The sequence below is a fragment of the Homo sapiens genome, chromosome 5 (genome assembly GCF_000001405.40).
Source record: "Homo sapiens chromosome 5, GRCh38.p14 Primary Assembly".
NCBI lineage: Eukaryota > Metazoa > Chordata > Mammalia > Primates > Hominidae > Homo > Homo sapiens.
The window spans coordinates 113,007,581-113,033,747 of NC_000005.10; the positions used below are offsets into that span (position 1 = coordinate 113,007,581).

The window sequence follows — 26,167 nt, forward strand, 5'->3', positions numbered from 1 at the left end:
TAGTAGAGACGGGGTTTTGCTGTGTTAGCCAGGATGGTCTCATCTCAACCTCGTGATCCGCCCGCCTCAGCCTCCCAAAATGCTGGGATTACAGGCATGAGCCACTGCGCCCGGCCGAGGTGTGGAAAGATTTCTAGGGGCAAGTGTATTTGCTATTTCATACCTTTAGAGAACTCTTGCTTTGGGAAGCACTGACTTCTATAAGAAAATACATTGATAGGGTGATTAATGAAAATTTGGGTAGGAGAAGCTTTGCTAAAAACTTGGTTCAACCAGCTAAACATATTCATGGGGTATTTTTTTTGTGCTATTACATTATGCTATAGATTCATATTATATTTCTTTTTGGGAAAACAGAATCAAAGTATGAGGGGAAATGGCAGAAAACAGTATCAAGATTCACCTAATCAAAAGAAAAGAACAAATGGGCTTCAGCCAGCAAAGCAGCAGAATTCTTTGATGGTAAGAGTTATAGCTGTCACACTAAGTAGGCAGTTCATCCTCTGAAGAGTGAAACAAGGGCATTGCCAAAGCACAGGAATGTTACTTGTTTTGTTCTTATTTTAATTGATATACTAGTAGGATTTTTGTGTAGCTGACTTGTGCACTATTCACACTAAAAATCTCTGGCTGCTCTTAATTACAAATGTATAATGTTGATGCAATTGTACATCTAATTTTTTATGTGGCTGTTTATTTTAATATCAATGTGTACTCAAACCTGTTCTCTAGAGCAATTATTTGGCTATTGCTCCATGTTTTTCTAAATATTATTTCAGTGAGGGTAAAAGTTTGGGGGGATTTGACTATTTTTTTCTTCAAGTTGATAGAGTTTAGAAAATAAAAAAAACACAGCCAGTGCTATTGTCATTAGATTTTGCTTGATGACAAATAACAAAGCAGTTTTCTTTCATTCTTTTGTTTAGTCAGTCCTCCAAAAGTTAATTCATAACTCACAGTCTCCTGCGTTATCTTTTCTGTAAGTTCTGATATTTGTATATTAGGTTTTCTTATTGTAGCTTCACCTGTTTTTCATTTATTGGTGAGTAATAATAGTAATTTCAAATTTTTAGCAAAAATATTTTACCTGAATTCCCTGGGTATTTACTTAATTTGGGTTCTAATGACTCATTTGACTACTTTACCTTTATTATTTCTCTTCTGTCTGATAAAAGTGGTGACAAGAACAGAGAAGACAATCTTAGTAGATGATTAAAAGGCTTTTAATAAAATTCAACAGCTGTTTTTAACAAAAACTAGACAGATAACTTTTTTTTTTTTTGAGATTGAGTCTCTCTCTGTCACCAAGCTGGATTGCAGTGGCACGATCTCGGCTCACTGCAACCTCCACTTCCCGGGTTCAAGTGATTCCCCTGTCTCAGCCTCCTGAGTAGCTGGGACTAGAGGTGTGCGCCACCACCCCTGGCTAATTTTTTTTTGTATTTTAGTACAGACAGGGTTTCACCATGTTGGCCAGGATGGTCTCGATCTCCAGACCTCGTGATCCACCTGCCTCTGCCTCCCAAAGTGCTGGGATTACAGGCGTGAGCCACCGCTCCCGGCCGACAGATAACTTATTGATAATATTGTGCAAGTGTTAATTGTCCTCAAATTAATGTGTACATTTAATATGATACCAATAAAATTCTTTGTAGATTTTTTGGGAGAACTTCACAAAATACTCTCACATTTGTCTAGAAGAACTTTGAATAGATTTTTAAAAGTTGTTTAAGACGAAAGTTAATGACAGAGAGCAAGTATATGAGCAGTTTTTAAGAGAAGAAATAAAAGGGACTGATAAACATATCACAGTGTTAAACTGTATATGTGGTCAAAGAATGTAAATTGAAATGAGTTACATTTCTCCGATCAGATTGGCAAAGATGAAAAGAAGTAACCCAGTTGTGTATTGAGTGTATTGGTAACACATAAAAATTACTAATTGGTACAACCTTCTAGAGAGGACTTTGCTATATCAAAACCCTACAAAAGTGTTCACTTTTTCCCTAGAAGAGGAATCTAAAGAATGTTCACCCCCTTTATGATGAAAACGTGGAAAACAAATATTGAAGAAGATATTAAATACAGTATCGTAGATCTGTGCAGTGGGTTACCATCAAGTTGCTAAAAATGACAATGTACATTTATTGAAAAAGGAATTTCTTCACATTATATTCTATTTTTAAAGACTATCAGACACTAGTACATATGATATAATTCCATTTAAAGTTTGCAATTTTATGAAAAGATGTTAACACACATCTTCATAGGAAATCAGCTAGAAAAATATAATACTAATTAGCTCTGGGTTGAGAAATGTAATGAATAATCTTTTTTTTCCTTTTTTTTTTTTTTGAGACAGGGTCTCGCTCTGTCGTCTAGAGTACAATGGCACGTACATTGTTTACTGTAGCCTTGAACTTCTGGGCTCAAGCCATTTTCTTGCCTCAGCTCTTTTTTTTTTTTTTTTGAGACAGGGTTTTGCTCTGTCACCCAGGCTGAAATGTGGTGGTGCGATCTTGGCTCACTGCAACCTCCACCTCCTTGGTTCAAGCAGTCCTCCCATCTCAGCCTCCAGAGTAGCTGGGACTATAGGTGCGTGGCACCACACCCTACTAATTCTTGTATTTTTTTTTTTTTTTTTTTGGTAGAAATAGGTCTCACCATGTTACCCAGACTGGTCTTGAACTGCTGGGCTCAAGTGATCCTCATGCTCTGGCTTCCCAAAGTGCTGGGATTACAGCTGTGAGCCACTGTCTCTGGCCACCTCAGCTAAATTAGTTAGCCCTGGCTGATTTTTATGTTTTATAAATAAAGTATGTTGGGAGGTGATTTTGCTGGTCTCAGACTCTTGGCCTCAAGTGATCCGTTTGCTTCAGCCTCTCAAAGTGCTAGGATTACAGGCATGAGCCACCACACCTAGCCAATACTTGTCTATTTTTTTGATGTCTTTATAATGTGTATGTATGTAATCAAGAACTAAAAAAAATTTTAGGTGTGAAAAGTAAATACAAAATACAAAAATACTGGTGAGAGAATGGGATGATGATTATATTCCTGGTTCAGTTTTTCTTCCTGAGAAATTTGATAATACATCTTTTGATTTTTAATAAGTGAAATAACTGGTGACTGTGTTGTATGTGTGTGTGTGTGTGTTTTTTTTTTTTTTAAATAGAAGTGTGAAAAGAAACTTCATCCACGGAAACTTCAGGATAATTTTGAAACAGGCAAGTCATTTCCTATCTTTTTATAATCTCTGCCTTGTGGGATTTGGTTTGGTTTACCTAACTTTGATTTTAGTGGGAGTATGTGATCTGTGATAGTTAAGCAGGAAGAGTTGCATATGTTCTGTAGAAAGAGTTCATGTATGTAGAGTTCTCTAAGAAACTGGCTGAAACAAATTCATTTAGATAAAATTACTTGCCTTCAGACTGTGCCGTTTCTTTTATGAATGTTAAGCCTTAGTGCTATGCGTGAATATTTTAAATACGTAAATAATTGCATAAGGATTTGGGGAGAGTAGAAAGAATCCAGTATTGTAAAGGCTAGGAAACCTCACTCTCAGATCTATATAAGGGGTGCACTGACTTTAGAAGGGGAACATTTTGGGGAGGTAATCACTGTGGTTCTTCCCATACACACGTTAGTAAATTTGTATGCCTTTTTTCCAATTAAAAGGAACATTTTTCCCTCTTTTGGAGGCAGTGTTCAACTTTTTAAGGTGATACTAAGTATGAGTTTTATTAAAGATACTTGCAATTTCTCCTTCCTCGGTTATGAAAACTAGGTGTGTTGTCTGATTCGGAAAGTAATCCTGGTGAATGTAGAAAGCTCTTTGTTAAATACTGATTTAGTAGATGATACTTGGAAGTGCAGTAGACTTTTTTCTTAGGTGCTATTTTGAATTGTATGAAATTTCCTGTGCAGTAGATACTCATTTATTCACCATCTAAATTTAAGGCTTTCATATAGAAAAGCCTAAGAAATGAAAAAGCATTATCATATTCTTTTTCTGTAATACTGTCTGTGATTTAAGCAAGATAATGCTATTTTGAAAGAGATGCCTTAACCCTATTATGGAAAGTTACTGTTAACTGTGAAGAAAGGAACTATCATTAGAATTTAGTTTGATACAGTCCCACTTGTTTATTTTTGTTTTTGTTACCTGTGCTTTTGCGGTCATATCCAAAAAAAAGTCATTGTGAAGATGGGCATCAGAGAGCTTTTTTCCCTGTTTTCTTCTAGGAATGCTACAGTTTCGGGTCTTACATTTAAGTCTTTCATCCATTTCAAGTTCATTTTTATGTCTGGTATATGATAAGGATCCAGTTCTTTTGCATGTGGATATCCAGTTTTCCCAGCACCATTTATTGAAGGGTCTATTATTTCTCCTCATTAGAGTTAGTATAGAAAAGTTATGGGGGTATAAGTCTTCTTAATAGGATTTTTTTCTGGCCACCTTGGGTGGTGGGGACATGTTAGGTGGATAGTGAAATCTAGTTAACATATATTCAGAAATTAGTTATTTCACAGAATCTTTTAAAAGCCGTATATTCAGGGACATTAAAAAAGGTACACCATGCCAGCCTGGGCAACATAGCAAGACTCTTGTCTCTACAAAAATTAAAAATGAGCCAGCTGTGGTGGCACATACCTGTAGTCCCAGCTACTTAAGAGGCTGAGGCAAAAAGGTCACTTGCGCCCAGGAGGTTGAGGCTGAAGTGAGCTGTGATTATCACTGTACTCCAGTTTGGGCAACAGAATGAGACCATCTCGAAAAAAGGGGCAGCATACTATAACTTGGTATATCGATCTTAGTTGGGCATTATATGAATATATAAAATTTTGAGTTGTCTTGAGAAGTGTGAAAGGATTCATGTCCTGGGAAGCCTCATCCTCATTTCAGACTTTCTTTCTACCCCAGCCTCTTGATGTCTATTCCAAACCTACTTTCTGGTCAAGTCCCTGATCTGTTTAAAAGGAGGGGGGAAAAAATCCCAGATAAATTGGAGTTTTGTTGTACTATGATTTGGAAAATTTGGATTTTTCTTTTTTTTCTTATTTTTTTCTTTTGTTTTTTTGAGACAGAGTCTTGCTGTGTCACCCAGACTGGAGTGCAACAGCACGATCTCAGCTTACTGCAGCCTCCGCCTCCTGGGTACAAGTCATTCTCCTGCCTCAGCCTTCTGAGTAGCTGGGATTACAGGCGTGTGCCACCATGCCTGGCTAATTTTTGTATTTTTAGTAGAGATGGGGTTTCACCATCTTGGCCAGGCTGGTCTCGAACTCCTGACCTTGTGATCTGCCCTCCTTGGCCTCCCAAAGTGCTGGGATTACAGGTGTGAGCCACCATGCCTGGCCAGATTTTTCTTTATGGTGATAAATTCCTGGAAATCTTGGTAAACCCCAGCTTTATTTTTCTGTAACAGAATGCACATAAAATAGGTAAAGCACATACAGGAGGTAAAGTTACGCTCATTTTGAAAGCAAAGGAATGTCAAGGGTCTTAATGGCTGAGATTAAGATTTTGAATATGTGGAAATAATAATAGATTGAAAATGCAGTTGACCACCAGTTTATGGAAAGGAAAATACATATTTTGGTGGTTCTGTTTAGGGTTAGAGTCTGGGAAGATAAATATATACTCAAAACTAATTGTTTTGTAACAAAAGGCAAAGGGCAGTATTTGATTTCTTACTAAGGTTACTGAGCTTATTTATTTTGTTTTTTCTTTAAACAGATGCTGTATATGACTTGCCTAGCTCCAGTGAAGACCAGTTGCTAGAACATGCTGAGGGACAGCCCGTGGCATGTAATGGACATTGCAAGTTCCCCTTTTCATCCAGAGCCTTTTTGAGTTTCAAGTTTGACCATAATGCTATAATGAAAATCTTGGACCTTTGATAGCAGCACATGTATTGTAAATGTCCCAGGATCAGAGACCTGTTGAATTTGAGTGGGTGTCTCCTCAAGCCTTACCTTTCTCAGGTGTTTTAAAGAAATGCAGGGAGGCAATGTTTCTGAAGACATTTTCTGTTTATAAGAGAGTAGAAAGAAACACGAGTTTGCACTGTAAATGCAGTTATAACCTTTTATACAGATTTACCTTTTCAGTGTTCAGTACAAGTTTAAGTTGCTTTCTTTGAGGGCATTTATTCTGTGTGACTGTGGGTTTTATTTTGTATTCTGGTTAAGAAAATAATGTATTGAGTTACTGTCAAGTAGCCAAGTTAATGGGAATGCTCCATCTACCTGTTACAGTGATTGCAATAATAGTATATTGGAGTTTTTCAAAGAAACTTAAAGTAATGCCCAATTATTAAATGAACACAAGAGCTGAGATGTCACATTCGTCAGCATTACAGGTGATCTATTTTGGTGGCATTTTGTACTTCTCTCTGCTTCTAACCACTGAGGCTCTCTAATCTTCCTCTGGAGTTTTAGTGAAAGGATTTATTGAGCAGCTTCTGGAATATAATGTGCATGTCCAAAATGAACTCAGCGCTTCAAAAGGACAAAGTCTGTAGCCTGGAGGGGCTTGAGTGGATGGGAGCTGATGCTGTGATTTTGAGCTGTGGTTACATGCAGTCAGTAAACCTGTGAGACTGCTGGAGGAAATGTAGCAGACAGCATGGAGGCTGGGACCCAGCAGCTACTTTGGGTCATGTCTTTACTGTCCTGCCTCCAACCCTTTAGTCTCGTAGACTTTTGTTCTTGTGGAAATTTCTTCTGTATTCCAGTTGTGTAAATATGTATGGAAAACTGATATTACTAGGTTTTACGTTGCATCTCCAGTATTGATCTTTGGAAACTGATGTTACATTAGGTTCCAATTCGCAATAGTAGCAGAGACTGACATGCTTTTATTGACCTGCTAAGCCCCTGGATGATGGAGCGAGAAGGGAAGGGGTATGCAGTTTACCCAAGTCCAAATAAAGCATTTCACTAGGTTACACGTTATGTATATGTGTTACATAACAGTAACATACATAACTCACTCCTAGGAATGTATTTTGCTTCAGGATTTTTAAATTCAAATAAGGATGGCAGTGCCCATTTTAAGGAGGATTTCAGCTATAACTGAGGACAATCACCAGGGCGTTAAGGGGGCTTTAGTGTTTTGGCTGCATCTGACCTCATTGAAGGAATTTCTTGGGAGTCGGGGGTGTTTGAGTATATGTGTGTGTGTGTAACTATCATGTGGGTTTTAAAAATCCTTTTTTACAGTGGTATCCACAAAATACTTCTCTGCTTATAAATGTTATTGTAGAAATCTTTATTCTGTGTAGGTAGCCTATTTAATTGGGTTCCACTGAACCTCATGGGACTTTTAAAAGAAGGGCTATTTAAGGAATTCACTTGGTAGTACTTTGCTTTAGCTTTTAAATGGCTTGATTTTAAAGGAGAAATTCTATTTATTAATGAAAGTGTCACCCTTTTGGTGCTAAGCAGGAGAATTCACAATTAAAGCAGTGTGTATAGAATTATGATATTCAGAATCCTGCATCTTTTAATGTGACAAATTTTTGAATCCTGTGACTTTTGCTTTTTAATGCATTATATGATTGTGTTTGGAAGCTTTTACTGTTCTTTTCAGAAATACGGCTGCTTTGCTTGGGTCTCTTCGAGCCATATTTATAGTTGGTCCCAGCATTCCAGACTTCTGGTAAATTGTTAAAGGAGTGAAAATGTAGTTTGCCTGGCAGATGAATAATTTTCACTCATTTATTGTCTTCTGGAAACCATTTAACTTTTACTGTTTTTTATTTTTTTGGTATGTGTTTTTTTTTTTCTTTTTAAGTGCATACTTTGGCCAGTCTTCCTGGTGCCTGTAGAGTTGGATTTTTCAGCTCTCAATACTGAAGCAAAAGAGATTATAGTTACCAGAAGTATGGCCTCTAATGGTGTTGAGCCTTTTCAAGAACCAACAAATTATCTTTGTGATTACAGTAGTTTAACTATGGTTAAATGTTACTGCTGTTGCGCTGCTTTATTTAATGCACTGTGGAACAAAATATAAGGGTACTGTTGGGGTGTGATTATGATAACTTCAGGCTTTTAGCTCTCCTCAAAGTTTGAGGTTAAAAAAATGTTAAAAGATGTGAGTTAAAGTTTATGTGTGTGATGTGACTTAACTATGCAGAAAATATTTAAGTTGGATGTACTTGTTTTAGGTACATCTACTATACTTATTCTCTCAAACCTGGGTAATAGTTTCTCAGTGTTCAGGTTACCTTGAGAAAGGCCATGCTTAGCGAACTGGATTTCTCCTTTGAGAAATTTTAGTATGGTTTGAGGAAATCAAGTGATAAAGGAGTATGCTGAATATGCAATCATTTACTTCTACTGAGTGCTGCATTTTAAGATGCTAGATGAGAAGAGTAGTTGGTTTTGCTTCATTATGTTTTATGTCTTTGAGAGAGATACAGGTCTTGGAATTCACTTTTTAAATGTTACGTTCCAACCTTATATGTTCCAAGGTGCAGTGCACTGTGAATCTTTTATTTTTAAAAAAATTTGTAGGTGCTTTTATGTATAACTTTAATGATTTATAAGATGCTAAATGAATTGTTTTTGTACCTAACCATTGTAATCCAAAAGATAAGGGTGTGGTTTACATGCTTTTCAAAAATTTTTGTTAAGAAGTAGCAAATGAATGGTTTAGGATTTCAAATAGTGATACCCTCCTGAGACATGAGCATTTGGAGAGGCCTGAGAACCTAATAGAACTCATATAGTGTGAGTGAAATTTGATTAAAGATGTTGGAAAATGAAGTTGGATTTTTGTATTCATGTATAAAGGAAAGTCTCCCAGTGCTGTCAAAGGAATTGTGGTTACTACTTGCTGTTCTGAGCTTTGAATATCGTTATTTTTCTATTAAATATCAATTAGTAAGTATAGCTAATGAAGACATATAATGAAAGTAATTTTATGCTGTAAGATTGAATTGGTACTTTTCCTTATTAAGGCTTTAGTAATTTGTATGTAATGTCAAATAAAAGGAATTCAAATCTGAGTAAATAACAGCCTCCTACTATAGGAATTAGATTCTTCTATAAAAGTCACCATATTGTATCCTATAGAAAAGTTAAGGTCTGAGTGCATGTGTGCATTAAAAACATTTCACTACCTATTCTCTCATGGACTTCTCATCCTTTCTTTTTTCATCTCCAACAGTTAAATGGTAAGGAGAGCAAAGTTAATTATAAAAATTAGACATTTTGCCAAGTTAGTTTTCTTACCACAATACCCTCTTGGCTTTTTTTTTTTTTTTTTTGAGATGGAGTTTCACTCCTGTTGCCCAGGCTGGAGTGCAATGGTGCAATTTCGGCTCACCGCAACCTACGCCTCCCGGGTTCAAGTGATTCTCCTGCCTCAGCCTCCCAAGTAGCTGGGATTACAGGCATGCGCCACCACGCCCTGCTAATTCTGTCTTTTTAGTAGAGACGGGGTTTCTCCATGTTGGTCAGGGTGGTCTCTCTTGGCTTTTTATCTTTATTTTTGTACCAGTGGACCTTCCTGCTCCCTGAGACTGTTTTGATTGACATCTTTTGTGTTTCTATATTTTCCGAGGCAGTATTTTCTTTGTATGTTAATCATAGTTATAGTAAAGTCAGACTCATTAACTTTTCTTCCTAGTAATTTTGACTTGGATTATTTTCTAGCCTGGGGGATGGGGTTCATATGTGTTGTTGTAACTTTAGATTACTAAACAAAACAAACTGTTTTTTTGTTTGAAGGTATCCTTTACATACCTGTCTGTAGGTAAGCAAGTGTTAGTAAAAACAATTTTGTCAAACAGTACTCCTGACAGCTTGGTAAAGTCTAGGTAGAGTTTCTGATTTTGTATTATGTCCTAAGACTTGAAAGTGCATTTGTCTAGTTGCCAAAAGTTCTAAAAATGAGATGGTGGGCTTTCTCAGCATCTTTTTGCTTCCTAGAATTGAGTTGCTCTTGAAGTCTGTACTCCTGTGTCAGAAAGATGGCAGACTGCAAATGGGCAGTACAGGCTTTGCCCCATGCTTTCAAAGTAGGATTCTGGATTGCAGTTTCAAAAAAATATGATAGATTATTGTTATAGAATCAAAGTGTCCTGAAGGGAGAAGAATAGCTATAGTTGCTGGGCAAAGAGTGTAAGAAAGAAACTTTAGAGCATTTATCAATACTTGAGTGCTTTATTATGTTCCAGGCTAGAAATGTGATCATTGCATGGCCTAAGTGTAGTCATTCATATATATATGAATATCTATATCTATATCTATACATATATATGTATCGCCATTATCGAGTGTTTTCTAGCCCTGGATAAAGTTAATTTTTTTGAAGTTTGATTGCCAAGCAATCCAGTGAATCTAAAGTAATTTTTCTCACTTTAAAGACCAGTGATGAGGAGTCTGGTCCTTCCTGTACTGATACTGTAGAACTCCAGTCAAACTTCAGTGCACTGCTTTCTTACAGGAAGACAACTCAGAACACACAGCCATAATCTGCTTTGGTGTCAGTCACATCACAGTGGTTATACATTTGTCCTGAATGGTGATTCATTCCTTTCCATCTAACTTCCTTGTGACAAATAGCATTTACTATTGAAATAGTCTTAAAATAGGGAAAAGAGTGAAAGTTACTCTTATGCATGGGAGTGGGCTTAAAGGGTTGACTTCCACCAGCTGAGTACAAACAAGTGTAAAGAAAAACTATGATAAAGTATGGAGGTCTTGAGAATTGTTCATAATGAAATCTTTAATCTGGGTTATCAGAGTAATGAAATCACCAATAAAAACATTCCATTTATCTTGGATCTTCTGTGGTTAGCAGAGGAGTATGGTCTAGCTATGTTAGCAGCTTGAAGGCACAACGTAAAAGGAATGAGCTTTCACAAGGTGCTTACGTTAGCTGGGTAGTATTGGTCAAAGGTACTCTGAAGAGTGAATGCAGAAATCAGTTGGCTGTGTTTGTAATCTTGTCCCACATGGACCCTAACCTTTAGTAGACTTCAGTCTTTTAGTCCAGTAGAAGACAATGGCCCTGAATATGTGTTTTCTGCTTTTTGGTGGAAGGTTTCCTGCAGGTGGTTGGGTGGTTTTTGGGTTATTGGCTACTGTTCGTTCAGTGCCATTTGAAGACCTGTTGTTTCTTAATCCTTTTTCTTGGTGTGACTGGCCAGGAAAAAGTCCATTGAGTCCTTTTTTTCTCCCTGGTGTCTTACCCCTTCTGTAGAATAATCCATATTTTAAAATTTGTTTCACATCTTTATAGCAAACCTGCCACAGACTTGCAAGCAGTGATTTTATCTTTCCTTCCTGAGAAGGTGATCTCACTTTTGATGTTTGGGTCACCTGTGGACACCTGTGCTCTTTTGAGTCTCAAGGCTTATAGCTTTCACATTGGCTTGGGAACAACAGACTTGTGTGTGGTTCTAGAGTGAAATGGGCAGTGTTCTGCTGGTCCTCAGTCTTTGAGAGGTCTTAGGCAACATCCTTAGTATAGTGGAATTTCTGAGGTCAAATTTAACATTTAATATATTCTCCTTTTAGTTCATTGAATCTGAGGTTCTAAATCTGTAGCTTCATTTTGAGCACAAGTCTGCATTGTCATTTTTTAAGAGATTGGCAGGCATATCCTTTTGTGATACTTAGGAAAAGACTATGGATGGCAGCAAATGAAAGTAAAGGTTCTCAACTGTGAATGAAATTTAGAAAGATAATTCTTCAGCAGTTGGTTGATTAGATGGGTTAGTGCTTTTGGAATATATAACAGTAGACTTGTATTCTTTATGCACTATACATATGATACGCACTGACAGAAAAGCACAGAAGACATACTGCTAAGAGTTTCTTTGTGCATTTCACTACTGTTCTAGGGGACTGCTGTCTCTTTGGTTCCTTTTAGGTTTGTGTTAGGATGTTGCACAAGTAATCATTTAATGTTAAATGCAAGTGTCCAAAGAAATGAGTCTTAAAGTTCTTTGGTCATATTTCACTTTAGAGTTAGGACAGGAGACAGCTAACCTGACTTCCATTTTACAAATATTAGAAACTTTTTCTTCAGTAACAAAAACAGGGAAGGACAATAAAACCATGAACTATTTTGCTTTATGTCTGTTTTTAAAAAATAATTGTTTTGAAGTTTGCTTATTAGCTTAATACCTTATAGTACTTTTAAAAAATCATCCTTGGTAATTATTGACTTATCCTAGATCCATGTACAATTCAGACTTTTATCTGTTAGCTTTAATAAAAATTTAAAACCATCTCATTTCAGAATAAAATAAACGGAATTACAGTTCATGCATTAGCATTTTTAAGTGAAGTTCTCTTAATAAGATTGCCTTTTGTCTAACCGAAATAGGGCATACAGATTAGTTTGGATGGGAAAGTGGTAAGACTTGACTTTTTAATACTGTGCCTATTTCCAAAAGAAGACTTGATGTGGCTTTTTACATTATGCTTTAAAGATGTTAATGGAGGATACATAGTCTTAAAACAATTTGTTTGGGAGTAAGTTTTAGTCGGAAAAAGGTGAAGATATTTATGCTGAGTTATGTTAAGCAAATTATTTTGAGACCTTTTGCTGGTAGACAAAAACTGAGGAAATGTTTCACTAAATATATTATGGTCAATGAAAAAACCAGACTTTAGAGTAAATGTGATAACCAAGTAGATTTGTGAACTTTATTTCTTTAGTAATTATTTTTATCTTATGTGAAATGATTCAACCTTTAATTTTTGCCTAGATTATAGCAATGTTTTGTTTTACCTTATAGGGCATTTTAATGCTTGGAGAAAGACTATAAGTGAATCTACTTCAAGGGATTCTGTTCATGGTGGTATACAGTTCTTGGTGCTCTTTTGGAAATTGTCAAACATTTACTGATAGCAGAAAAGGAACCCCAAAACACCTGTAGTGTTCACCTTGTTATAAGAACAGAAACATTTGGAACAGGTTTCATTCTGTTTCTAGATTTATGTTGTTGTAGTTGAACAGCAACTGTTTTTTTCCCTCAGTGTTAACGAAAGGATAAAGACTACCTGTATTGTTGGGTATGACTATCAAAGGATTTCCGGTGATTCATGTTTGTGAATTGGAGTTTAAATGTTTGCAGGATTACTGTACTTCCAAAGACCCACTAGAATGTCAGCTGTACTCTGTACTCTCCACTGAGAAAATGAACAAAATCCTATGTCTTAACAGTTATGCTCTAACTTTTTGAAAGCTTTTTGATGTAAATAATAGGTTAGAAACTAAAAGCCTTTTAATCTTACAAAATACAATTTGAACGATGGAAGGTTGTTCAGATACTGGCTTTCTGTAAAAACATCATTGTGTTAGATTGTTTGTAATGTACTATCAATAAAATTGGCTGCTTGGGCGGTTTTAGTTACCACCTTAGCCTGGTTTTCTGCTACTGTTATTTATCATCGTAGGTTCTGAGTTGCTCATTGTGGTTGCTCTTTGGACCAATAAAAATGGCAAGTATGAGATGAACATGATAAAAGTATGTTTATATAACAGGAAGAAGCTGGGCGCGGTGCTCATACCTGTAATCCCAGCACTTTGGGAGGCTGAGTTGGGTGGATCACGAGGTCAGGAGTTCGAGACCAGCCTGACCAACATGGTGAAACTAAAAATTCAAAAATTAGCTGGGCGTGGTGGTGCGTGTCTGTAGTCCCAGCTACTTGGGAGGCTGAGGCAGGAGAATCTCTTGACCCCGGGAGGCAGAGGTCGCAGTGAGCTGAGATCACACCACTGCACTCCAGCCTGGGTGAACAGAGCAAGACTCTGTCTGGAAAAAACAAAAAACAACCAAAAAAAAAAAAAAAAAACCCCCAGGAAGAAATATTGTCGAGAGTCTCTGCAAAAATGAAAATACCTCAAACAATTAAGTTTGTTGCTTTAAAGCAAGATTATAGTGTAGGGCTTGAGATGTGAATTCATTAGATATTTAAAATCCAGCAATTCTTAAGTTTGTGCTAGAATCAGGTTTTGCAATAGGAATACTTAACTTTGGATCTCAAGGGGGAAAGAAATACATTCTTTTCCATTAGAGACCTCAGCTATATGATAGTAACTTTTATTTTAAATTCTCAAAAGGAGAGTGACTAAGGTGTTATACTTACTGTCAAAGTTACTTTGCTTCCATAGTGAAAACTTGAGAACATTGTAATCTTTCTCTAACAGATGTGTTGCAAAGCTGCTTGCCATCTTGTTGTCCTATATGACTTCCTTGCATTTCCAGTCCTTGATTACATTCCATTTTAATGATCTTTCTTTAAGAGGGGAAAAGACTCTCTTCAATAGATAACTTCCTATTTATGCCAAATTTTAAAAAGCCAACTAAAAATGGGCTATAAATGAGGGTTCTTTGGCCATTTTGATCTAATAATAGTCTTACTTCTAGACCCCTGCTTTGACTAGGGCTCTTGATTTCATGTAAGCATCATGGATTTGATATTTGCCTGCATGTATATCACAGTTCTACAGAAGGATAGCCTTACCCTTTAAATAACACAGTTAAGGTACACTGTGGAATTAGAAATATTTATTCAGAATATAAGAATGTTTGTAAAATATTATAAATGTCTCTGTATAAATAAATGGAGTTTTTAAAAAACAATTCTATATCAAATAACGCAAAGTAGCTATTTTACAGCAGCTAAAACTAAAGGCATCTGGAAACATTTAAAGAATACAAGTGGAGAATCTAAAAAATTACAAGGTATAGTACAGTGTTAAGTAGCAATTTTAAAATGAGACTTTCAGTACAAACAGTAGAACAATACTGACAAATGCAAACTTAGTCACATGTGCTTTAATAACTGACAATACATTCAAGCAGGTTTTTCTAATTCAAGTGTATAGCACATATTCAAATAATAGGAAACAAATCTCATGCAAAGTAAATAAATCTTGATGTCTAAAAACTGATTAGAACTAGAAAAGAAGTGGACATGTTTTATTATCTTTGCATTACGTTCTAACAAAAGCAGATTATCAGGGGCTCTTACTCACTTGCCATTCCTGACATGAGCACTATAAGTGAATACTATGAGTTCTACAAACAGAACATTTTTCCACATGAATTTGACTTGCAAAAAGTGCAAAAGGGAATGGTAGAACCAGAATTACTAAGTACGGCATCAGTGTGAATGTGGGGGAAATTTGTGTATAACTTGCTTTGTTCTGCTGAGCTGATATTTCACCTGATTAGCAGATGGATGACTGTGGAAAGATGAAGTACTAGTCAAGGATGTGGTTTTACATAGCAGTTGCTATTTCCGGGACTGAATGATTTCTTCCTCTTGGTCACATGCAAAATCTCACCCAGATGTAATGTGATAAACAAACAGTTTACCCAGTGTAACCTTTAAGCAAAAATGTATGGTGATCTGCATGTGAAACTGTCTTTCTCTACACAGGTATTAGCAAAACAAGAATACATGAACAGCTGCTATCAACTTGTATACTTTTTTTCCACTTGTTTATATTTTAACAGCCACTGAGAGATCAGTGATGCTGTGGTGACAGCAGTCAGCATTATTTCTTAGAGAATACAAATGTATTAAGTTAGAGTAATTTCAGGTGTGTTAAACAGGAGATGCTTCTGAAGGCCACAAGTTTGGAGCTTACTTTAACCTGACCTACATGAACATAAGATTTGTAGGATGTGGATAAACTTTAAGAACTGGATAGTGAAGGCGTAACTTTTGTTTTGTAACCAGTTACGCCTCTTCTGTAAACTCTATAAGAGTGCTCAAAGGTGAATCAAACTTGTATATCATTCCTTGTCAAATAGGCTGTTCCCACTGGATAAGAAAATTTGCTGTATGTTTTCCTGAAAAATTTTATAGTGTTCTACAAAGCCATCACCTTCTGCAGAAAAAAAATGTTACTTATGCTCCACCTCCCCAGCCCTCACTAAAAACTTTGGTAGCCCTATGGCGGTACCCTAATTAAGGTCAGTGCAGAAATCTCAACCATTACAGAAGTCTCTTACTATTTTGGCTCTCAAAATACTCTAACTAGTAGCTCTGTTTGCTGAATCTAGAAGTAGGTAGAGCTGTAAATAGTTTAATAGAATGATTGGGACATACTCCCAATTAAGAATTTGCAAATTGTTTAAAGCCTTATGGAGGAAAGGACACTTTCAGAGATGTTTATTTTTTAATAGTCATCTTGATATGTTATCACTTTAAAGCTTGATAATCGAAACTCTTGAGAGCTATTAAGGTTGACTGATAGACTTAAAAAGTGATTGCTTTATAATTCTCGTGGGCCATAGGAAACACCTTCAGAAGGGAACAAGCAACTATGGAGGTTCTTTAATTCATGCCAGGGACACAGGCAGTCCAATCTTGATCGGGTAACTACGGTGCACTTTTTTCTCATTTAAAATAATCTAATCTGTATCCAGTTAGGAACCAGAAGACTTTCAGATAGTTTCATGTTTTCCTTAGAGTGGTAACTTTCTTTACTACTCCTTAACAGCTTTTAAGAAAAAGCCTATGGGCTCTAATTTGGACTTCCTTTTGGAGTAGAATGTCAAGGCTCTGACTTAGAAGAGGTCCCTCTAAAATATTGCTGCAGGCTCAGAGAAGACTTAGTGCATGCATCTGAAAGGAGAATTAAGCAATTTTAAAAGTTAAGTGCTAGTTAAACATAACATTTGTTTCAGGCAGCATGGATATTAACTTCAGAACGCTGACAAGCCAGCCGATGAGGATGAAAGTTTCAATAAGGAATCATACTGTTCCCCAGTCCATGACAGATTTTTGTAGCTGGTAAGCTCACACTGATGGCACTCGCAACTACGGACAGAAGTCTCTTTTGCTTGTGATTTGCACAGTTGGTTTTGTTTGCCTCAGTCCAACAATGGGAAATATATTCCAAGGGAACTGTGAAATGGGTCCTTTGGCTCTGTGCCCATTTCTTCAAAAGCCAAAGACTGAATTCTGAACAGAGATGGTTACTGACTAAAAGGGGGTAACCACTGAGGAAACTAGGGAGAACAATTCAAAATACGAAATCTGAAGGTTTTTAACCTCATATAAATTAGAATCAAGATCATTGTTTACCCTCATTGGAGATGTTTGTTAGAGAAAAATTCAGGTAGCGCCAGGTTATTCACAAAGGAAAATTACCCAGGAACCTGCAAGCATTTAATTTAATCAGTATAGTTTAGTTCAGTAGCTCCCACAATTAGCATAATCAAGTGCCACCTAGTTCACCTTCAAGGATTGTGTCTTGGGGAGTATTTGAAAAATACAAGAAAAGGAAAAACTTTTATAGCTTTTTTATTATACATATTTATAAAAAATTAACACTTTTGCCTGCAAAATAGTTTTTACCCAAATCACATTTGAAAGTACTAAAACTAAGGTCAGGTAGCATGAGTAAAACTGGGGCCCTTAACAGGAGCTGGAGCCGCCTCTGCCTGGGGGAATTCTCAGAGAAGGGGAGGTTCTCTGATTTTACCTGGAGCAAGAATGGAGACAGAAGTCAGTAGGCAGGATTTTATTCCTGCTTCAGCCACATGTTTCTGTGTCAGTGAAAATGAAAACTGCCCATTTGATGCCTGCTTAATCACAAAAAAGAGCCATGCACATCCCACTTTGCTCAGGGGAGGACGTTTCCCTAGGCAAGCTGGAAAAATAGTGAAAACTGATTTTTTTTTTTTTGGGGCATATGTTTTTCAGCCAAAACATTTTCCTCATGATAAAATGCAACTTTATATGAAAAGTGAAAAATTCTAAAAAATCACAGGAATGGCCAGGCACATTGGCTCATGCCTGTAATCCCAGCACTTTGGGAGGCCGAGGTGGGTGGATCAGTGGTCAGGAGTTCGAGACCAGCCTGGCCAACATGGTGAAACCCTGTCTCTACTAAAAATACAAAAAAACTAGCTGGGTATGGTGGCGGGCACCTGTAATTCCAGCTACTCAGGAGGCAGAGGTTGCAGTGAGCCAAGATCACGCCACTGCACTTCAGCCTGGTGACGAGCAAAACTCCATCTCAAAAAAAAAAAAAAAAAATCACAGGAACTAACTTTGACCAAATGATTGACAGAAACCAGTGAACATTTTCATAGTGATCAAAGCACCCCAAAGCTGGTCCTTCTAGACTGATACCAGTTGATCTGTTGTTTCGTTTTGGAGATGGGCAGCCTCACTGCTGGCCTCTCAGTGGTTGCTTTTAGGATACAGCTGTCTGCCCTCCGAACTGGTGGCTGGAGTATCCTCCAGCGAACAGAAGGCTGTGGAATTTGTATCATGCTCTGAAAATAGACCTACCCGTAGCTTATGGACATAAAGACTCTATGCAGAAACCTCCTCAACTTTAATTTGTAGTCAGCTATGGCAATGGAACACATTTTTCATAGGGAACTTTGGATGGATTCTCTGGTGCTACAGAAAAAAACAGTAAATGGTCCTTCAAGTGTATCAGTGTAGAACTGAGAGAGAAGAGGTAAAACTGAAAAAGAATAATGAATTTGTTTTAAGATTGAAGACCTTCCTGAAATAATTCAGTTACTTTGGTACTGCCTAGCCCTGTAAGCATTTTGCTTGAAATTTAACCTTTTAAGCACCATATGCTAACCATCACCATGTATCTGGGGGCAAAAAAGAAGCCTTAACTACCATTCCCTCACTCTGTCCCCGTCATGACAACAGGAGCTAAGTCTTGAACTGGGGGTTACACAGCACTCTTAAGTAGGCGTGATAAGTTTTGCAAAATGTTCAGTATCTCCTCAGTGTCTTGTCCTTAGGTAGAGACAGGTCCAGAGCTACAAATGCACCCATGTGGAAGAGATTTGATTCAGCAGAACAGCAATTATGTAGTGCCCTGGGGCGGGAAGTGCTAATAATGTTTCTCAGCTCTTGAAGAAACCCCTGACAGAATTTTAGTTCCACTACAGGTATCAAAAAGATTCCCAGCTCTAAGTCTTGGATATTAATAAGGCTCCACTGAGAGGGAGAAATCCCAGAATCAAGAGAGCGCTCCCTTCCCAGCCCTGCCTCCAAAATGAAGATTGAAGGAAGTTTTTATTCTCTCAATACAAAATTGTTCAGGCACAGTCCTGGTGGTGGTCTGTTTGTAACTTTAGTGTATCTGGGACTGTAAGTAACACCTGTCTACGCTCTTCCCATGACCTATAACTCCCAGAGATCACCTCTTATGGCCGCCTCTATCTTAAAGTTGAGACCCGGGACTTGGAAACCAAAGCCTTGCTGTAGTAAACAAATCAGCAGTCCTTTTAAATGCTGGAGGCACACACAGGTCTGTTTTCCCATGAAGCAGGAGGAAAGAGGAGAAACGAGATTCTAGAAGATGAGCCCAGCATCTACCAAAAAGAGGATACAATGGAAAATCTTACAGAAACAAATGTCTGGGATCCCACTGATGCACAGCCGCCAGACCAGAAGAGGAGGGGGAGAGTGAGTGCTGAAAGCAGAAACGAGGCTCTGCTGAGCAGGCACAGAACATGTGTTTACACGCTGTTGTGGGCCCAGGAGGGAAGAGCGGGCACCTCTGGATACAGTCCACAATGTCACCATGGCCAGTCGCCCCAAGGGTTGAGTTGGGGCACTCCATTGTCCAAGTGCCGACCTACCTGCCAGCCTTCCCTTTCCTCCTCCTCCCAACAAGTACATGGGCCCTTCTGTCCCCAGTGGCCTGCTGCAGTTTACTTCCCATGGGCAGAACTCCGGTGCGTGAGTGCTGATTAAAGCGAAGTTTCATTGGTGTGTGGCCTGGAGTTCTCCTCCTCTAGCAGAGCTATTCTTTGCTTGAGCATCCTCACTTGGGTCTCATGTCTCTCCACCATGGCCATCATCTGCGACTCTAACTTCTTCAGTTTGTTTTGATGCTTTTTCTTTGCTTTCTCATAGGCAGCCACCAGGTTGCTAGGTGGGAATGAAGGGAAATTGGTATTAAGATTCATCCTAAGTAGCATCGTGACACCATCCTGTCCACTGGATAACCAGATCTAGTGAGCACTGCTCTGAAGAAAGATCACTCATCCTCTTCGGTAAGAATCTGAAATCTAGTGGTCAGAGGAGGGACAGCACCAGGATGTCAACACTCAACGGCCAGTCACCTACTGGCTTAACCCTGATGAATCCAGCCGGATTGCTAGAGGCTGGTCACTCTCACATATTAGAAGGGGTTCTAAGAGTCAAACCAGCAATCCAAATTGGCCCAGTCCAAAACGGATAAATACAAATAGTGGGTCTATTTGTTGCTCCATGGTTGCTTGCAACATAGTCAAGTGTATCTTACAGGAGAGTACTCCTAAGGCACTGCAATCAAAGTGACCATACCTGGGACGAGAGCAGAGAGGTTGTTCTTGTTCCACCTTCCCTTTATGCTTTGGGCTGGTGGGACTCGGAATATTAAATTAGGCCATAAGCCAATGCTGCAAAGCCAAACATGGAATATACAGGCCTTTGAACTGTTCCCACCAGAGCCTGGTGGTAGGGTATACAGTGAGCCCAGGTAGGTCCATTCCATGTACAGTCATTACCCTTACAGCTGCAGTTCTCCCAGATAGTCTGAGGACTCACCCCAGAGATTTGTAAAACCCATTCAGGAGGTCTGTGAGGTCTTGAGCTTTTATTTCCAACTATAGAGCTGGATGATGCCAGGTGTTCTCAATATACATCCACATAATGTTGACTACAGAAGCAAATGTGAGAACCTAGCTGTCTTCTATTAAGCCAGACATTAAAGATTTGCAGAATTGTAAGACCAGTGCCACTTTTCTAATTATTTCTTGGAAAATAGTTTTTCATAAAAATGCCATTTTTTTTTTTGTAAATGAAATAATAAAAACTTTAAATAATTTATCTTGGTTTTAGTTCTAACATGAGAAGTATCAATAAATACAACTTACAGGAACAAAAGCTCTCTGAGGTCCTCCGTTTTTTATAGAGAAGAGTCCTGAGCCCAGTCTTAGAGCAGTATTTCCTGAAGTATTCCAGTGGATATTGTGTTGCTCAAATAAATTCCATGGCTAATTTTGTTTGGAAAATACTGGCTTAAACAGATTTTTTATTATATGACTTCTCAGAACATTTAAGATACATAATACCAGGAGGCATATACCACAGTATGCTACATTTGGCCAAAGGATGTTGTTACTGAGCATTTCTTAGTTTCCACAGACCATCTTGGGAGATGCCACTCTAAGGAAGACCAGGCTCTTAGAGAGCCAGGTAGGGACTCACCCACTTTCTAGAGTTAGTTCTTAAGAGTTAGGGAAATGTCCATCCCTGGTGCTGTGTCTACATGCAGGGTGTCAGTCCAAGTACCACAGGTGGAGGGCGGTGGGGGCTGGGTATAGGGAGATTTTTACCTGTTGGCCCGCTTTAGATCATTCACGAACTCTGCAGATTGCTGATGTCGGATTTCACTGCTCTTGGTGAGTCTCTCCAAGGCACTCACCAGCTCTTGAACTCTGGCCTTCAACTTCTTTTCTCTATATTAAAGGAGACAAAATATGCCAGGAGTAGTTTGAGATGATGCTGGAGGTGCCCACTCCCTGGGAAGTGGTGACAGAAAGAGGAAGGTTTAGCTTGCAAAGCCTAAAGGCAAGGGAGAGAAAAGATACTAAAGGGCCCAACAGCGCTACTGTCACCTGAATGAATTCATTCTCAAATGCAGATTTAAACCCATTTCTTCAATGACAAGGGCTTTTTAAAGATCTTATGTGTCAAAGAAAACAAGACAGGAATTTCTGTTTCTAGTCTTCTAGCTAATCTAGAAGTTCCTTTCTACTATTGGCATACCAGATCCTCAGCAATGAGTGCGGCCTGACCACAAACCCCCGTCTGTCTCCATCCCCTTCTTTTTCAGGTGTCCTAAGTATCTCCTGAACCACTCAGGTTTAGCAACCTACCTTGAACAGGTCCCCACTCATTGAGACCAACATGATCCCACCTTGCCAAAAACCAAAAAATTGGTAGAGGGAGTAGATATGATACTCTCTTCATTGTAAGGGTCCTTATTTCCCATGAAATTACATTTGCACTTTTGACTACGTGCCCTCCACAGGCAAAGCAGCTTCAAGTTCTGTGGATCCTCTACTACTTTGGTAACCCAAGCTAATTAGAGTCAGTTCAGGGAGGTTTCCAGTATCCAGTCAGCTCATTGCCTTCCTCTAATTCCCACAAGACCCAGCAGGGAAACACTAATCAAAGCCTTCTCGACTACTCTGACTCCCTTCCAAGATCCTTCTATCACATGCACAGTGTTACTCCACTTAGTAGCACACTCAGCACTATGTCACCGTATTACGTGCTGGAGCCATGACGCTCCCCCATGGTCATGTTGGGTTCTAGAGTGGCAAGGACTTTACTTGGTTTGATTCCCCAATGCACCCCCAGTGCTGAGCACCGTGCCTGGGTGACAGCTTCTAGTGACTGTTAAAACAGCTTTAGAACAACTTACTGAAGGTAATGTATTTGATTCTTTGGGCATATTAAGAAACCAGGATTTAGGGAAGGAATTCGTTTAAAAAGGACTCACTGTATGTAGAATGTAAATTTGCATGATTAATTTATAAGACAGTTGGGTAGGATCTAGCAAAATAATAAATGAACATGCCCCTTGACTAAGCAACTTCACTTCTAGGAATTGATTTTACAGAGATATCAGGAGCACAGGTTCCTAAAGATACATCACTTATATTTGGATTCACTTAGGCATTGGTTACAATAATGCCTAATAAAGGGAGACAAGCAGGGAACTGGTTAATCACGGCCTACCCATGCTACCGAAATGCTCTGCTTGAAAAATATTTTTAAAATGCAGATGGAGGGCTGGGGGCAGTGACTCATGCCTGTAATCTCAGCACTTTAGGAGGCCAAGGAATGTGGATTACTTGAGCTCAGAAATTGAAGACCAGCCTGGGCAACATGGTGAAACCCCATCTCTACAAAAAAATATAAAACTTAGCCAGATATGGTGGGTCATGCCTGTAGTCCATGCTACTCAGGAGGCTAAGTTGGGAGGATCGCTTGAGTCCAGGAGGTCAAGACCAGTGAGCCATGATCCTGCCACTGCACTCCAGCTTGGGTGACGGAGTGAGACCATCTCAAAACAAACAAAAAAATCAGATGGCCATGCACTGGCATGGGAGGATATCTGATACATTAAGCAAAAAGGGTGAGTTCTAAAGATGCCATTTTTGTAAAAACTGAAAAGCTGAGTGTGAATATCTGACACTGTAATAAGACTAGAAGGTGAAACACAAACTCAACAGTGCTTAACTCCTGAAGGGGGTTGATGGGAGGCTTTCATTTTCTACTTCACTCACTTTTGCATTGCCAGATATTTTTACAATTTTGTATATTTTCTGTAAAGTGCGAGTTAGAGTCATGTAGGAACGGCATGGGAATGTGACGTCGGGGTAGAAGGCTCCTTTCTGCTGCCCAAACTGTTCAGACCCTGGTTCTCCTTTCCTAGCTTTTCATATATCTAATCTTTTACATTTCTGCCTTTAGCTACTATGAGGGTAAGTCAAGCTCTCCAAACTGATCAATGAAGAAAGGAATTACAACGTAAAATCCAGGCCTGCTTTTGGGAGAGAGGATGGAAGGGGCAGGATCTTTAAGGGAAGTCTAGCAACCAGCCCTCAGCCCAGAACTCATTTTTCAGTAAATCCTCCTACCCGCCTCTGCTAAGCTGGAAGGAGCGTGTGTTTTTCCTGGGCCCTAGCAGCCTCCAGGACATCTCGGATCTGGCTGCATTTCCTCCCGGCATTGGAGAGTGGCAGCATTTCCTACCAGCAGTGAGGATGGTGTTGCAGGAGGGGGGCTCCTTTCCTCCCCACCCGCCCCCCAACACCTCCTCGGCCTTCCCAGCAGTCCTCCTCCAGCGGAGGGAAGCCAGGGACTCCTGCTTCCCTCCAGCTAAAAACAGCAGGGAAGGGTTTTTTGCCCTACATTTTATTACCATTTAGAGCCCTTTATCTTTCATTCTAATGTTGATTAATAGTGTAAAAGGAAAAAAAATACTGAAGAGTTAAAAATGTAACCACAAACTCAATAAGAAATTCACAACAAAAAACTCTGGGATGCTACCTAGAGCAGTCAAATCCCCTCCCTCCCCCACTCCTATCCACACTCAGTGAACAGGGAGACTGGAAATCCCAGCCCTTCCACAAGACAAAACGCTTCCTTCCCCAGCACCCAGGCCCTCAGGGGACCAGAGGGAACTTTCTGGATCTGGCAGGCTCCAAAGGAGGATAGAACCCCAGAAGGGCAGGAGAGAGTCTCTCAGACCCAGGCCAACCCCAGCTTAGGGTTGTGGCGCAGGAGTGGGGAGTAGCCATTGCTGGGAGCTTAGAACTGCCTGGCCTTCAGAAGGGAATGGGAGTGAACCGCTGGGAGAAACCCCAGGAAAGAACTATGATGCTCATTTATTTAAAGATGCAAAGACGAGGCCAAACTGTAAACTTAAACCTAAAATTTGGGTTGGTTGATCTGTTTTCATGACAACACAAAAAAATGTAAAATATCTATTTAGTTTAAAAAATACTGATTACAGGGGCCGGGCGCTGTGGCTCACGCCTGTAATCCCAGCACTTTGGTAGGCCGGGGCTGGCGGATCACCTGATGTCGGGAGTTCAAGACCAGCCTGACCAACATGGAGAAACCCTGTCTCTACTAAATACAAAATTAGCTGGGTGTGGTGGCGCTTGCCTGTAATCTCAGCTACTTGGGAGCCTGAGGCAGGAGAATCGCTTGAACCTGGGAGGTGGAGGTTGCAGTAAGCCGAGATCGCGCCACTGCGCTCCAACCTGGGAAACAAGAATGAAACTCTGTATCAAAAAAAAAAAAAAAAAAAAAAGGATACTGATTACATGTTGAGATATTTTGGACATACTGGGTTACATTGTTATTAAAATTAATTTCATGTGTGTCTCTACTTTTTTCATGGGACTACTAGAAAATTTAAAATTACATACATGCCTTGCATTTGTGGATCATATTATATCACCAGTGGACAGTGCTGCTCTAGACCAATTGTTTAATGCTGTCAGAGGCATGTGAACCAGAGCAACTCCATCTTAAATAGGAGTTAGGTAAAAGTGAGGCTAAGACCTACTGGGCTGCATTCCCAGATGGTTAAGGCATTCTAAGTCACAGGATGAGATAGGAGGTCAGCACAAAATACAGGTCATAAAGACCTTGCTGATAAAACATTGCAGTAAAGAAGCCAGCCAAAACAGCAAACCCAAGACGGCCACAAGAATGACCTCTAATCGTCCTCACTGCTACACTCTCACCAGCGCCACAACAGTTTACAAATGCCATGGCAACATCAGGAAGTTACCCTATAACGTCTAAAAAGGGGAGGTATGAATAATCCACCCTTTGTTTAGCATATTATCAAGAAGTAACCATAAAAATGGGCAACCAGCAGCCCCCAAGGCTGCTCTATGGAGTAGCCATTCTTTTCCTTTACTTTCCTAATAAACTTGCTTTCATTTTACTCTGTGGGCTTGCCCTGAATTCTTTCTTGCACAAGATCCAAGAACCCTCTCTTGGGGTCTGGATCGGTAATATTTTCCAGTAACAGCATTACCAGATATTTTCCCTGGCTTCTGACTAAGTAGGTTTCGGTTGAGACCCAGGAATTGCAGTTTAACAAGGGCCCCAGCTGACTCTTGTCATCAGGCAAGCTTGAGGGACTGGCGTAAGGCAGAAGAGTTCCTCACCTGGACCTGAGGATGAGCTTCAGTTACTCCTGGAACTGACTTTCTGAATTTATATGCAAAATTGCAAGCACGGGGCTCACTTTATCAAGTCTACAGTTTTCCTCAGATTTTCAAACGATGACATGGAAAATGCAAAGAAACATAGCTTACTAATTCAAGTCACATTGAAACCTCAACCATTCTTGTTCCTTTCTCCTTCTAATTTAAATTTGCTTAGCCTTTCGTTAAGATTTTATATGGTTTGGGTACATAAGTTAGGCCAAAACAAGCTTTCTTGGCTTCACACAAATGAGAAAGCAAAAATTCAACACTACACGTTCCATATGCACCTTCAATAGTAATGTATTCATACAGTGTTTCCTGGAATGGCCAGAAATACATAATCCATTCCTTTTTTATGCCCAGTAGTATTGGCACTCACAAATATACCCCATAGCATCAAGCAA

General features: G+C 39.1%; 2 protein-coding genes across 8 annotated transcripts in view; one reads left to right on the forward strand and one right to left on the reverse strand.

The window, feature by feature from the left end:
* The window catches only part of DCP2 (decapping mRNA 2), a 45,398-nt gene extending 30,783 nt beyond the window's left edge, over nt 1-14,615 (forward strand). For 3 of the 6 annotated variants that reach the window (NR_038352.2, NM_152624.6, XM_047416865.1), the window contains 3 exons: nt 358-462; nt 3,176-3,227; nt 5,741-14,615. Coding sequence is in view for 5 of the 6 variants with exons in the window: in NM_152624.6 (NP_689837.2) it covers nt 358-462; nt 3,176-3,227; nt 5,741-5,904 (321 nt within the window). In the remaining variant the exon portion in view is untranslated. Of the gene's footprint in view, nt 1-357; nt 463-3,175; nt 3,228-5,740 lie in introns of those variants that run through there. The other 3 variants (NM_001242377.2, XM_047416866.1, XM_047416867.1) reach the window with 2 other exon arrangements.
* MCC (MCC regulator of Wnt signaling pathway) overlaps nt 14,526-26,167 on the reverse strand; it is a 466,348-nt gene continuing 454,706 nt past the window's right edge. For both annotated transcript variants that reach the window (NM_001085377.2, NM_002387.3), the window contains 2 exons: nt 21,354-21,476; nt 14,526-19,902 (listed from right to left, as the gene is read on the reverse strand). In NM_001085377.2, coding sequence (NP_001078846.2) covers nt 19,722-19,902; nt 21,354-21,476 — 304 coding nt within the window. In that variant the 3' untranslated portion in view covers nt 14,526-19,721. The remainder of the gene's footprint in view (nt 19,903-21,353; nt 21,477-26,167) is intronic.